Source organism: Homo sapiens, chromosome 2 (assembly GCF_000001405.40).
Source record: "Homo sapiens chromosome 2, GRCh38.p14 Primary Assembly".
Classification (NCBI taxonomy): Eukaryota; Metazoa; Chordata; class Mammalia; order Primates; family Hominidae; genus Homo; species Homo sapiens.
In genome coordinates, this window is record NC_000002.12 from 53,913,780 (window position 1) to 53,928,471 (window position 14,692).

Here is a 14,692-nt window from a genome sequence, read left to right on the forward strand (position 1 = left end):
ACAGGAACTACTTCCAAGTCTGACACATAAGCTTTTAAAAATAAATGAAAACAGTCAGAAGGTGAAATAAGGAGAAAACAGGGTTACTCACCGTGGAGTAGTAACTGTTTCCTTTTCTGTGTGCAGCTCCCCCAGCAGAGCTGGGTAGTTTCCTGGAGGTGCCAAGAGAGGTTAGCTAGCCCTGCCCCTCATTGCATAAGCAACACATCCTTTCACATATCAATGAAATGGTCTCACTATTAGACCTTAAGTATGAATTTCTTTGAGCGAAAAGTTAGTAAAAGCTGAGATCCTAAGGATGATTTAACTAAAAATGACGTAATAAATCTATCAGAGGAAAGGGGACACAAAATAAAGGAATATTTTGAGATGAAAAATGACTCCTCTACCTTGAGTAACCCTGTTTTTTAGATGTTAGTTTTTTGCATCCTGTGATAGCTGGTTAGACCTAAAAGATTATTTAGAGAATGGACTGCAAAAGGAAAAATTAATGATGATTTCAGGATTAAAGGCAAGGGTCCAAAATTCCTGTGACTCTGGAAAGACATAATCCAACTTCCACATCTATAAAGGTAGAATTATGAGTATAAACTATACCACAAATATTTCTCTTAAAACATTATCTAAAGGTTCCAAGAGCAAAATAGGTCCTATTTTAAGATTAATTCAACAACCTGTGATATCTGACAAAACTGTTAAAAATTCAAACTGTTTTCAATAGTACGAAATAAGAAAAAAATTTATCCTTAATTACCCACAATTACTTTATTATATCCATCCTTTGAAACTGTAAAGTTTATAGTAAGTATAAGATATTTAGTGGCCAGGCGCAGTGGCTCACGCCTGTGATCCCAGCACTTTGGGAGGCAGAGGCGGGTGGATCACAAGGTCAGGAGTTCAAGACCAGCCCAGCCAAGATGGTGAAACCCTGTCTCTACTAAAAATACAAAAATTAGCCGGGCATGGTGGCACACGCCTGTAATCCCAGCTACTCGGGAGGCTGAGACTGGAGAATCACTTGAACCTGGGAGGCAGAGGTTGCAGTGAGCTGAGATTGTGCCACCGCACTCCAGCCTGGGCAACGAGTGAAACTTCGTTTCCAAAAAAAAGATATTTAGTAACCCTATATTGCTAAAGGCCCAAAGGTACATGGCATCCCCAAAGTGGATACCATTAGGTAGATCATTTACTTTTATGCTTAGGACTTGGCTTTTTATTTTTTGTCAATCTCTAATATAAGAATATAGCACAGAAGACAGGTTTTCCCATTTAGTAGCCACTTCCCTGAACAATGAGATTTTAAGACCATCCCACATACCCTATTAGGACTAAGTTAGACATTCTCACAGGAAAACTAAAAAGTAACCTAAGCTTTGGCTGGGCGTGGTGGTTCATGCCTGCCAGTAATCCCAGCACTTTTGGATGTGGAGACAGGCAGATCGCCTGAGCTCGGGAAATTGAGACCAGCCTAGGCAACAAAGCGAAATCCTATCTCCACAAAAAATACAAAAATTAGCTGGGCATGGTGACCCACGCCTATAGTCCCAGCTATTCGGGAGCTGAAGTGGGAGGATCACTTGAGCCCAGGAGATGAAGGGAGCAGTGAACCAAGACTGTGCCACTGTATTCCAACCTGGACAACAGAGCAAGACTCTATCTCAAAAAAAAAAAGGCTGGTGTGGTGGCTCACACCTGTAATCCTAGCACTTTGGGAGGCCCAGGTGGGAGGATCACTTGAGCTCACAGACCAGTCTGGGCAACATAGTGAGACCTTGTCTCTCTATATTTTTTTTAAAGTAGAAGAAAAAAAAAAGAAGTAAACTAAGCTTCTAGGGTCTTTTTGTTTGTTTTGTTTTTTTATCACTGTACTCTTCTTCCAGAAGACAAAGACTACTAATACACACACGGCAATCTTAATACTAAGTAATCTGACAAAAAAAAATTACAGCAGCTAGAATTTTATCTAAGATTTATATAAGTTTAAATGTTTAAAAAAAAGAATTTTATGAGGCTGAATGTGGTGGCTCATGCCTATAATCCCAGCACTTTTGGAGGTCAAGGCAGGTGGATCACTTGAGGTCAGGAGTTCGAGACCAGCCTGGCCAACATGGTGAAACCCTATCTCTACTAAAAATACAAAAAACAATTAGCCAGGCATGGTGGCACACGCCTGCAATACTGGCTACTTGAGAATGTGAGGCAGGATAATCGCTTGAACCCGGAAGGCAGAGGTTGCAGTGAGCCAAGATAGTGCCATTGTACTCTAGCCTGGGTGACAAAAGCAAAACTCCACCTCAAAAAAAATTAAAATACAAAAATTAGCTGCGTGTGGGGGCGGATGCCTGTAATCCCAGCTACTCAGGAGGCTGAGGAAGGACAATTGCTTGAACCCAGGAGGTGGAGGTCGCAGTGAGCTGAGATCCCACCACTACAGCCTGGGCAATAGGGCGAGACTCTGTCTCAAAAAAAAAAAAAAAAAAAATCTTATGAATTGCTATGTGCGTCTAAAAACTGGTCTGGTATTTCAGAAAATGCATAATGTCTCCTGTCTCCTAATACCACAGCCAAACTGTTATTAACAATAGATATTTTCCTCAGACATCTTAGACATTACACTAAAATATTCATGACAATTATGTGTTTCATTTTCTCCCTGACCTAGTATATTTTCCCATTTCCTATGGAGCAACTAATGTGCTAAGTTAATTCTCTTTCTCTACTAGTTTCAAATTGATCTGCTGATAATCACCATAAATCATGCTACAGATATTCATTCTTCACACCAGGCAGTATGAATTCGTATCACAGAACAATGGGACCATTTATTGGAATTACTGTATTAGTTTTTTCAAATCAATTTAGATTTAGAAGATTTGAACAATTACTAACCTATATTAAAATAAGCATTTTAGAAATTTTAAAGGCTATTTTATTTTATGGTACTTTATGAAATTAACCATCTGTTAAAAAAAAGTAAAAATGTTACACATAGGAAATAAATGTAAAAAGCTATACTTTGCCAAAATAAAGTTTCAGCTGAAGGTAATGCTAGTTATAAATTAAATACAATTCTATTAAGAACTTGCAAAAGTCAAAGGAAGACGGAAAACTCCCTCTTTTGGCAATTCAAAGGCAAAGACCTGTTCATTTATTCTTAATTTTACTTTATACAATCATTATCCCCCACAGATACATGTAACTAAAAAGAACCCTAAAAATACGTATTATTCAATTATTTTTAAAAATTGAAGTTTTATTGTTTTATTTCATTATATTATTAAGTATCAGGAAGCATTTTATATTTTAATCTATATATGTTTAAATAAATATACATATATTTAATATAGATTTTTATTACTTCATCATATTATTACATTAAATTTTCACTCTAAATGTGCAAGTGCTAAAACGCAAAACCTTTCAGGCTAAATTTATCTTTTCCTTTTTAACTTTTCTGGGAAAAGCAGATAAAAGGATACTCAGGATCAATTTTATAGCTTATAATATATAGTAATATAAACTAATAGTCTGTATCATATGGTATTCATAAGATTATCATAATATATTCTTTTCCTTATTAAAATGCACTTCATTATAAAAAATCTAATTGGCTTTATAATAATCAAATATATGAAGCTTTTGTCATGATGCACATTTATTTCAAAGGATAAAGCCTTTTGCTTCAATTCACTATTACAGTGTACATGGCATCAAGATACAGGCTGATACGAACTGCAAGGAAAATCCCTTGGCCTCTTTAGCTGACCCTTCAGCAGTGCATCCTAATGATTACTCAGTACTAAAAATTTACTAACATTAAAAATACATGCTTTTGCTCTTAGATAAATTATTGGATTAAATGACCACAATTCTAATTGTTGACACCTTCAAGCAGAACTCAATTTGCTGATGTGCAAAGTTTGTTAAGTATGAAATAGCTTTTTGCCTGCCATAAAAGGGTCAAGTTCTTACTGTATTACACACTGTTAAGATCATAGGTGAAAATCGAAACAATTTTTGAAGCCTCTTATTTTTAAATATTGTTCAAAATCAATCTTTTTTAACAAAAATGAATTCTGGTACAACTGCGCTTATATCAAACAACAAAACTAATGAAAAACAAAAGTTCTTTAAAAAGAATTCGGCAAATTCCTAAACACACTTATAACAGATTTCCTTACCTGAAATGACCCTAACTTCTCCTTCTTAAACTTAATAATCTAAAAAGTTCAATGCCTAAGAACAGTTTTTGGAGTGAAAAAAATGGGAAATGCATGACACCAAACAATGACTACACAAAGTATGGGAAAGACATGTAGCCACATTTTGAAACCACTTCTTGAGGCTTTTTAACGTTTTTGTTGGAAAATCAGTAAATCATTTTCCCCTTTGTGTTTTTTGAGAGGGAAGAGAGGGCACTTACTCATTTGAATGTGATTTACATGTGATTTCATTAACTTGCTTAGTAACAAGATATTGATGTTGAAAAAAATGGTCTTAGTATATTTAAATTATTATCTATCTGTTTAATAATTAAGCTAAAATTAATATATACTGCTGATTTTATTCTTTTTGTTTTTTAAAATGTTTTTGAGACAGGGTCTCACTCTATTGCCCAGGCTAGAGTGCAGCAGCATGATCTCAGCTCCCTGCAACCTCTGCCTCCTGGGCTCAAGCAATCCTCCCACCTCAGCTGGGACTACAGGTATGCGCCACCACGTCCAGCTCATTTTTGTATTTTTTTGTAGAGACGGGTTTGCCATGTCATCCAGGCTGATCTCAAACTCCTGCACTCAAAAGATCCGCCTGCCTCATAAGCCACCGCACTGGGCCTCTGCTGATTTTATTCTAACTTAATTTTTTTTCACCTTAAATGGCGGAGCTAACAACGGATTCAATTTAGCTATTCACTCGAAGTAATAATACTCTGAAAAGCACTTAAAAAATCATAAAACCAATTCAAAATCATAATGAATAAGATTGAAGAAATCTTTTTTTTTAAAGTTTTTTGCTACAAAATTCTGAATCAACATTTGCTACAGTCAAAACAAAGCAGTATTTTTCCTTTTTAAAAGAACAGCATTTATCTTAATTAACTCAGTAAACTAAGAGACTAACTTAATATCTCCACATTTGATATTTTAAAATTAATACCTAAAGTTATTCTATCCTGGTACCATGTGAAAATCTGAATAAAGCCTTCAGGTTTATAAATCTAAATTGTACCTCTGGTATTTTTGACCTTAACAGTGACAAATAAAAAGGTTAAAGTGATACAGAAATAAAAGCAATAACAACAACAAACCAATAACTCATTAAGTGACTAAGACTTAAAATATATGTTAAGTGGAAAACAGTTATTTTTACTTACAAGTTAGTAACTGGCTCTCCTTTCAACGGAGGTAGGAGGTTTCCAGAGCCAATTAAACAGTTGTGCACTATAGTCAGACTCTGTAGAATATCATCTCTAGAAAAAAAAAAAAGACATTTTCATATTTCCAAATCCCTATTTAATAAGCCTGCTAGAGCCTAGCACAGAAGTTTTCTCACGTGGGGATATAAATGATTAAGGTAAAGAAATAGCAAATGTCTTCAGTTTACCAACTTAACAGTGAAGAACAATTAAATATATATTTATTGCTAACACTATGCCTGCTTACATTTAAACAGGCTCTAAGTAAATCACAAGTAACAATAATTAACTGCCCTTTGTGAAACAACTGTTAATTTAAGCATCCCTTTACCAAAGACCACTGCCACTAACAAAAAGAGGAAATAATGCTACAGAAGATCTTCCAGCTTATTCCATCTTTTAAAAATGGGACTAAACATTTACTTCCAAAAAGCAGTTCAGAGTACGACAGAGTTGATGTTAGTCAGTCACACTTCTTTCTCCAAGTGCATTCTTAAATCTGCTTATGAAAAATTTGTGGTGTTTGATACATTAATTTTCTTGCTATTATTTTAGAAACTTTCAAACTATGAAAGTCTAATGGTTTCAAATACTTATTTCTTGTTAAATACCTGTGGGAGAGGGAAAAAAAAATCTCATAAAAATAATTCTTAAAATAAAATTTTGAGAACCCAATAAAATCTTAGCTGAGTCTAGGAAAACAGGCATTCCTTTCAAAGGAGGCATATCTACACACACCTTCCAAAAGACAAGTGAAATTGCTAAGTAGAAGGTAATAAAAAAAATTAGAAAAAGAAACCCACAATTTTTGGGTTTAAAATGTTTAAATGTTGTTAAATTTTCTGTTATACAACATTATATTAAATGATTTTCTAAGTACATGTATAGCAGATTTTCAAAACACAATTGAAAATTAATACATGAGATATGCCACAGATAAAGCCAAAAAAGACTTCTTTAGTCTGCAACTGAATAACTCTAATTATAAAATAAAACCAACCTAGACATTTCAAGTTTTCCATCCCCACAATGCTGGAGTTTGACGAGCTCAGGCTGAAGAAAGGAGTCCAAAAGATAAAAGGCAAAAGACACTTCTTCTGAAGAAGGAACATGCCACTGGATTCCCAGATTCCACAAGTCCCCGGGTTTGCCCCAGTCCTAGAAGAGAACAGCATCTACTCAGCAAGTTGAGAAATTAAAAACAACAACAACAAACCCACATACATATACACAATTTTTAAAATTTAAAAGAAAATGTACACATAATCCAAACCTAAGGTAGCAAATGATATACAAAAAAGTAGCATGAAAACAACATCTTACTGCCTCTTCGTTATCACTCCTGAAAAAAGTCTCCCCGAAGAGTACTCATTATAATATGAGTTTGCTCTAAGAGTGATACTGTAAGAGTGATGATGAGTTTAAGTGAGGCTTAGTTTAGCAATAAAATTATATTGAACTATAGACATTAGATAAGGAATATATACGAAGTTGTTTCACATATCAATAGGAAAGAAAACTAGAGTTTCAGTTCCATGCAAAGTGAGACAGCACAAGTTTCACATATTCCAATAATAGTTTCAATAATCTATCTTAAAAGTAAAAAACTAACATATGCAAGAAAAAATAACACTTTGAATCCCTTAAAACAAAAAATCAACATATTCTTGAATCCTAAAGTACTGAAAATGCTTGCCTTGATAGGAAAGTATTCAGAAGGAGGCTTGTCAAAGCCACCTGGCACACTGCAGTATTCTGTAGGGTAGATAAGTGTGGTAGAACGGAGAAGATGATGCAAAAGGTTACAAGACAGAGTGTAACCCTGCTTACAGGTTAAATGTAGGGTTCTTTGGAGAATCTTTACAAGCTGCTCCCTATAAAGAAGCAACTTCCTTCCATCCACTCGAGTAATCTAAAAGGAGGGAAAAAATAGTTGAAGATATTTTGGTTAAAAGAACAAGAACCAATCATTAATGCAAAGTTCAATGTTTGGCCACTAACCTAGTGTTTCTCTAAATGACTTTAATTAATTTTAGGATTGTCACTTTAACTGCATTCTAATAATTAATTGTTTTTTGAAATCAAACACATTTTCTGAGCTTAAGCTTTCATGCACCATAGTAACATCCCTTTCAAAAGAGTCTATTCTATTCAAGCAATTCTCCTGCCTCAGCCTCCCAAGTAGCTGGAATTACAGGTACACGCCACCATGCCCAGATAATTTTTGTATTTTTAGTAGAGACAAGGTTTCACCATGTTGGCCAGGATGGTCTCTAACTCCTGACCTAGTGATCCGCCCGCCTCGGCCTCCCAAAGTGCTGGGATTACAGGTGTGAGCCACCACGCCTGGCCCTAATTAAACTTCTGAAAAAAATGATAAAGAAAACTGAAGTTGGCCGGGCGCGGTGGCTCACGCCTGTAATCCCAGCACTTTGGGAGGCCGAGGCGGGCGGATCACGAGGTCAGGAGATCGAGACCATCCCGGCTAAAACGGTGAAACCCCGTCTCTACTAAAAATACAAAAAATTAGCCGGGCGTAGTGGCGGGCGCCTGTAGTCCCAGCTACTTGGGAGGCTGAGGCAGGAGAATGGCGTGAACCCGGGAGGCGGAGCTTGCAGTGAGCCGAGATCGTGCCACTGCACTCCAGCCTGGGCGACAGAGCGAGACTCCGTCTCAAAAAAAAGAAAACTGAAGTTTGGGCCAGGCGCGGTGGCTCACACCTGTAACCCCAGCACTTTGGGAGGCTGAGGCAGGCGGATCACGAGGTCAGGACATTGAGACCATTCTGGCTAACACAGTGAAACCCCGTCTCTACTAAAAATACAAAAAATTAGCCGGGCGTGGTGGCGGATGCCTGTAGTCCCAGCTACTTGGGAGGCTGAGGCAGGAGAATGGCGTGAAGCTGGGAGGCGGAGTTTGCAGTGAGCCGAGATTGCACCACTGCACTCCAGCGTGGGCGATAGTGAGACAAAAAGAAGAAAAAAGAAAAGAAAAGAAAAGAAAAGAAAACTGAAGTTTGATTGATGGCCAAATTTAAAGTGTAGACCAAAAAAATTCCCAAATCTGATCAACTTTTTCAATTAATGAGTTACCCATATTAGAATTAACTGGTAAAACTAAGTAGATGGCTGAACATGCAGTGATCAACTACACCACTCCTTTGACAATAAGAGTATGACATATTCTGATCTTCTGAAGCCTCATCAAATTTCCAAAACTCTGACTTTTCATATGTTTTAAAGTCATTTTGTCAGAAAGAGCTAAATCCTAAAAGCAAGTCAGTGTTTTCACAGTCATGTTTCTTATTCCAAAGATTTACAATACCTCAGACAAAAGTTGAAGATTCCATAGTAATTCCTTGTCTAGCTCTTCATCATTTAATACATCATCATCTAAAAACAGCAAAATACTATTAGGGGGAAAAACCTATGCATTCAACTAAATATAGCATTTTAAAATACTTCTATTTAATATTTCCAATAGCTGAGGAAAACCTCTTTTAGGAAGACTTTTTATTTCTTCTTCATGAAGCTGAGCTTGTTCCAAAAGGAGGTAGAAACAGAATTTTCAAGAAAATAAACACACCAACCAAGACTTCTGCCCCTCTATATCTCACAAAATAACTGATATTTTTGAAGGTAACCTCTGAATGGTGGTTGTATAAGAATATTAATAAAGTAACATTTTTAAGCTACTGCCAACCTGGATGATATCTTTTTTGGAGACAAATTTTCCCCAAATTGCCAATCAAAATATTGTGAAGCTAAAGGAATCTGTTGTCATTAACAGAGTTTTAGAAACCAAGAAAAAAACTTATCCAAAATTGTAAAGAGAGAATAATGACCTTATGACTTACTCATTGTAAGCTGAGTTATAACACTGCAGCAGTGGGGAACAAAGAGCTTCAAAGATTCTTCTGGGCAGCACTGAAAATGTATTTGTATAAGTAAGGCTTTTTTGAAAGGCAAATATATACAAGATTATATTTTCAGTGGCAGTAAAAGGCTGTAAATAAGCAGCTACTGAAAGAACTATGCATTTTAAGCATAGAAGCACCTCTAATAATTAACCATATAAACTAGTTGATTGTTGAGTCATTAATACATCAGTTCAAAAAAATAAACTCACCTTTACAGCAGCGCGGCACATGTCTGCCACCATGCGACCTGCTACTCTTGTTTCAAATATATGTGAAGTAGAAAAATTAAAAACCTTCTGAAGGGCCACCTGTTAAGATATGAAAATGTTTAATGAGCATTTTTTAAGAAAATTAAACATCTTACAGAACATAAAAGAAAATGATAAATATATTTAGACAATTCCAAAAATAAGCCCATAGGCAATTTTTAACCATCTGATTTTATAAGAATTTGTTTAATGATGTTACATTCAGGTCTAAGAACAATCTTTGCCCACGATCCTAACTTGAACAAAATATTTTAGGTACTGGCTGGATGTGGTGGCTCACACCTGTAATTTTAGCACTTTGGGAGGCTGAGGCAGGAGCATCACTTGACATCAGGAGCTCAAGACCAGCCTGGCCAACATGGCGAAACCCTGTCTCCACTAAAAATGCAAAAATTGACCAGGCATGGTGGCGCATGCCTGTAGTCCCAGCTGCTCGGGAGGCTGAGGCATGCGAATTGCTTGAACCCGGGAGGTGGAGGTTGCAGTGAGCCGAGATCGCGACACTGCACTCCAGCCCAGGTGACAGAGTTAACAAAAAAAAAAAAAAAAAAAAAAAAAAAAAAAATTGAGGTACAAGATTTCACTTGCCACAGAAACCCTACACATAAAATTATACCTGGTGGAAGCAAATGCAATTTAATTGTCTTTCTGGCTAATTGAATATAACAAAGGGAATTTTTTGGAATACCTAATACAATTTGTCATCCTGACAACTACAAACTAGACATCTATCCTTACCCTAAAAGAACTGAAGCAGTCTGTTTATTTTACAGTCATGTCACAAAACTTTAATTTACTTGCTCAATGGAAGAATGAGTTCTATACCTGGGTTAACAATACTGAAAAGTATAAACAACTCTTTTTGGTTAAATAAGAGATGATTTGTGTTCATTTCTTTATACTAACATAATCATAGTATTTATTTCACACAGCTATAAGGCAGTTTGGCTTCTAGGATTAACATATTTAACAGTGATAATTACAGATGATGGGAGAAGAAACAGAAATGAAAATAAAGTGTAGTCTTAAAGGCTACAGATAATAGGTACCACATTACAAATAATAGGTACCAACCAATATTGAATTAGTGAATGCTTACTGAATGTCTTATGAAGATAACTACTTCTAATCCATCAGTTAGTCTTAGGATTTAATTTCTATCATGGGAGTGATGTCATAAGCAATTTCTAAAACTCAGCTGAGTAACTGTTTTTAATTGTAAAATTAAAAAATACAGTTGTTTCTTTTTTTTATTTATTATACTTTAAGTTCTAGGGTACATGTGCACAACATGCAGGTTTGTTACATATGTATACATGTGCCATGTTCCTGTGCTGCACCCATTAACTCGTCACTTACATTAGGTATCTCTCCTAATGCTATCCCCCCTGCGACAGTTGTTTCTTGTTGTTCATGGTAGTCATGTTCTATAAATTTGCTGTGACCACTGAACTAGCAAATACTGAACCATTGCTCCCAGGGGAAATACAGGATTATGTTCCTGTGAACCTATGGTGACAACATTTTCATCAACTGATCAATACATAATCCTAAGTGTGATTCTGTTTACAGACAACTTATTTAATACATATTGTTGATTCACTAACATTTAATCCGCAGTCAACAGCAACATAACTCATGCCTGTTGACGCTTACCTAGCACAGTGTTTTTTCCATTAGGCACAGCACAACTCTCTTATGCTTAGGAACCCTCAACCACTTTAAACAATAAACTCTTGGGAGCCATTTTTGACATTTTTAAACAGCAGAATCACCAATAAGAAGCAAAAAAATGTAAAAAAGTGGCATTAAATAGATCGCAAAGGGGACAGTTGTTTAAGTGGAGCTGGATATAAGACGGCAGAGTGCCTCGTTTGCTCTCAGCTGAGAACACATGGCATATGTGAGATCAAATTTAAGTAACTGAATTTTTGTCAGTCGCAAAAGCTTGATTCTCAGGTTGCAAATAGTTAGAGCAAACAGGTAAATTTGCAAATACGAAATTTGCAAATAATGAGCAACTGTACATTTCTTTAAAACTTTAGTATGAATGTAAATGATAAACTGCATGATATACACAAAGTAACTTGAAGTCAATTTTAAAACATCAAATGAAACTTAAAAGCTGGAAGTTTATTTTTTGCAGCAATGTTCTTACCATAAATATTTCTTTGGAACATTGGGTGAGGATTGTACTAAACGTAGAAGACAGACCTAATTCGACCAAACTCTCCAAGTGTGTCATTTTCTCAGTTTCTGTCTCTTCTCTTGTTTGCTCCAATGTGCTACTTTCTATAAGTCCAAAACATCTAAATAATCCAAACAAAGCATAATTTCAGCAACTAAAATCTGGTTTGACATTTTTGGTGGTCATCAGGTAACTCTCTATTGTCCTAATTATTCAAGTGATAGCTACTTAATTTCTACGTGGTTCACAAATCGATTATCCTTTTATAACTTCAGGAGCACCAGTAGTAGCTAAATAAAGGTTATAATGCAGAAATAAACTAAACTTTCTGGGATAGAAGAGTCATTTTCTAGAATTTCAGCTAAACGTTGGTGTGGGTTACAAGCTCACCTGTCCATAAACTGTAAGACGAAATCCTCAAATTCAGCTGTGGCTGAACAAAGTTCTCGTTCCACCTATAATATCCCAATATGGAGAAAGATTACATATAGCCTTTGTTTTTTTTTCCTGAACTAACAAAACTCAATTATTGCCTGCCAAATGTATCCACACTAAACCATTATATTGGGTACTATGAGAAACAGCACCATGCTAGACTTCATCTACTACTTTCAATTTAGAACAACTTCATCTACTACTTTCTAGGAACCAAAGAAAGAAGAAATTAATGTTATTTTACAAGGGCCAAATACAGAAGTCAAGCAGCTATCTTTATTATAAATTCAGTTTTCAAACTGCTGATTTTTGCAAAGTCTAGTCTCTCACTACCTGAATGTCCAGAAAAATATAAACAATAACATGCTCGCGACTGGGCACGGTAGCTAGCCAGACACTGTGGCTCATGCCTGTAATCCTAGCACTTTGGGAGGCCGAGGCAAGCGAATCACTTGAGGTCAAGAGTTCAAGACCAGTCTGGCCAACATGGCAAAACCCCATCGCTACTAAAAATACACATATACACAATTAGCCAGGCATGTTGGCACACGCCTGTAATCCCAGCTACCCGGGAGGCTAAGGCACAAGAACCACTTGAACCCAGGAGGCAGAGGCTGCAGTGAGCCAAGATGGCACTACTGCACTCCAGCCTGGGCAACATGCTTGCAATAAAGAAAATAGTTCTGGGGGCTGGGTACAGTGGCTCACATCTGTAATCTCAGCATTTGGGAGGTCAAGGCGGGCAGATTACTTGAGGCCAGGAGTTCGAGACCAGCCTGGCCAACATGATGAAACCCCATCTCTACTAAAATTACAAAAAATTAGCCAGGCATGGTGGTGCATGCCTGTAGTCCCAGCTACTCGGGAGGCTGAGGCAGGAGAATTGCTTGAACCAGGAGGTGGAGGTTGCAGTGAGCCGATATCACATCACTGCACTCCAGCCTGGGTGACATAACAAGACTCCATCTCAAAAAAAAAAGAAAGAAAGAAAGAAAGAAAGAAGTTTTGAAAGAGCCAGACAGAAATGAATGAAGAAAATCTTTCTTCATTAAATGTCAATCCCTTGGACAGATTTATTACTAACCTAAGATGATAGAAAAATAAAATATCACCATCTTTTGCTTAACAAAACATTGAAAAGTGACATAAAACTGAAATACACCTCCAGATGTCAGATGTTTATAGAAACAGCCTATTTTTGAGCCACCTCCTGTGGTGGGTGCTCTGTAGACTCTCTTGCCAATGATGTCCTGGCCCTCCATATGTACCATTCTAGTCACAAAATAGTGATTTTACTTCCAAAGTCGTTTCTAAACTGTCAAGTGTTACTATGCATATGCAATAATAATTAGAACATCTTAGCCCTTTTATAACCATAAAATACCCTTACTTCTGTGAGGTCATTTCTTTCTTGTAGTACAGATGAACAATCTACTAAAGGCACCAGAGTAGAAAATGTTGCTATGAACTGGAATGTGATCTGTGGAAACATACAAAGGATTTTCAACATTACATAATTCTAATTCAGAAATACAAGTATACCATGAACTACAATAAATTACCCCAATAAATTATCTTGATCAAAATCCCACAACAGTTTTTCTGGGTATTCCTCATTTAGAATTGAACACTGTAAGGTTCTTCATAATTAACTAGCTGTCGGCCGAGCGCAGTGGCTCACACCTGTAATCCCAACACTTTGGGAGGCTGAGGCGGGTGGATCACTTAAGGCCAGGAGTTCGAGACCAGCCTGGCCAACATGGTGAAACCCTGTCTCTACTAAAAATACGAAACCCAGCCAGGCATGGTGGCGTGTGCCTATAATCCCAGCTACCCAAGAGGCTGAGGCAGGAGAATTGCTGGAACCCAGGAGGTGGATCACAGTGCAATGAGCCGAGGTCGCGCCACTGCACTCCAGTTTAGGTGACAGACCAAGACTCCGTCTCAAAATAAATAAATAAATAAACAACTGTTACTTTAATAATTAAATTATACAACATTTATTTTCATATTTATATTAGGCTTATGCACAAACTTCTCCAACCTTTTGTCACTGAGAAGTTTACTTTGCCTCCTACCTAAATACGGAGTGTATAATCACCAATATACTCACCATGCATTTACTAAAGTCATTTGGATCCACCCCAGGCAATGCTCTCATCAACAGAGGTAGCATATGTGTAGGACCTTCAGGAAACCATCTGCCTCCTGATACCAAACTGCGGGCTACTCCAATTACACAACTTAAAGTAGCTGTGAGCTGGTGAGGTTCTGTTAATGTCTCTAATGCAGGATATGTTCTACAGTTTGAAAACAGAATTTTTAAAGTCTCCATCACAGATATGCATAATACCATAATACATTAAATATAATAAATTCATAAACTGCACTTTGACTTAAAGGCTTACAGTTAGCAAAATACTCAGAGTGAAAATCTGCAATCAAAGTTAACAATTACAGTAGCCCCG

The 14,692-nt window shown here is 36.7% G+C and overlaps 1 protein-coding gene across 1 annotated transcript in view; it reads right to left on the minus strand.

The window, feature by feature from the left end:
- Positions 1-14,692, minus strand: part of PSME4 (proteasome activator subunit 4) — a 106,925-nt gene that overhangs the window by 49,711 nt on the left and 42,522 nt on the right. Inside the window, exons 11-20 of the mRNA NM_014614.3 lie at positions 14,338-14,524; positions 13,615-13,704; positions 12,180-12,244; positions 11,760-11,910; positions 9,542-9,640; positions 9,270-9,339; positions 8,738-8,805; positions 7,110-7,325; positions 6,414-6,571; positions 5,372-5,467 (exon numbers count right to left, since the gene is read on the minus strand). Coding sequence (NP_055429.2) covers positions 5,372-5,467; positions 6,414-6,571; positions 7,110-7,325; positions 8,738-8,805; positions 9,270-9,339; positions 9,542-9,640; positions 11,760-11,910; positions 12,180-12,244; positions 13,615-13,704; positions 14,338-14,524 — 1,200 coding nt within the window. The remainder of the gene's footprint in view (positions 1-5,371; positions 5,468-6,413; positions 6,572-7,109; positions 7,326-8,737; positions 8,806-9,269; positions 9,340-9,541; positions 9,641-11,759; positions 11,911-12,179; positions 12,245-13,614; positions 13,705-14,337; positions 14,525-14,692) is intronic.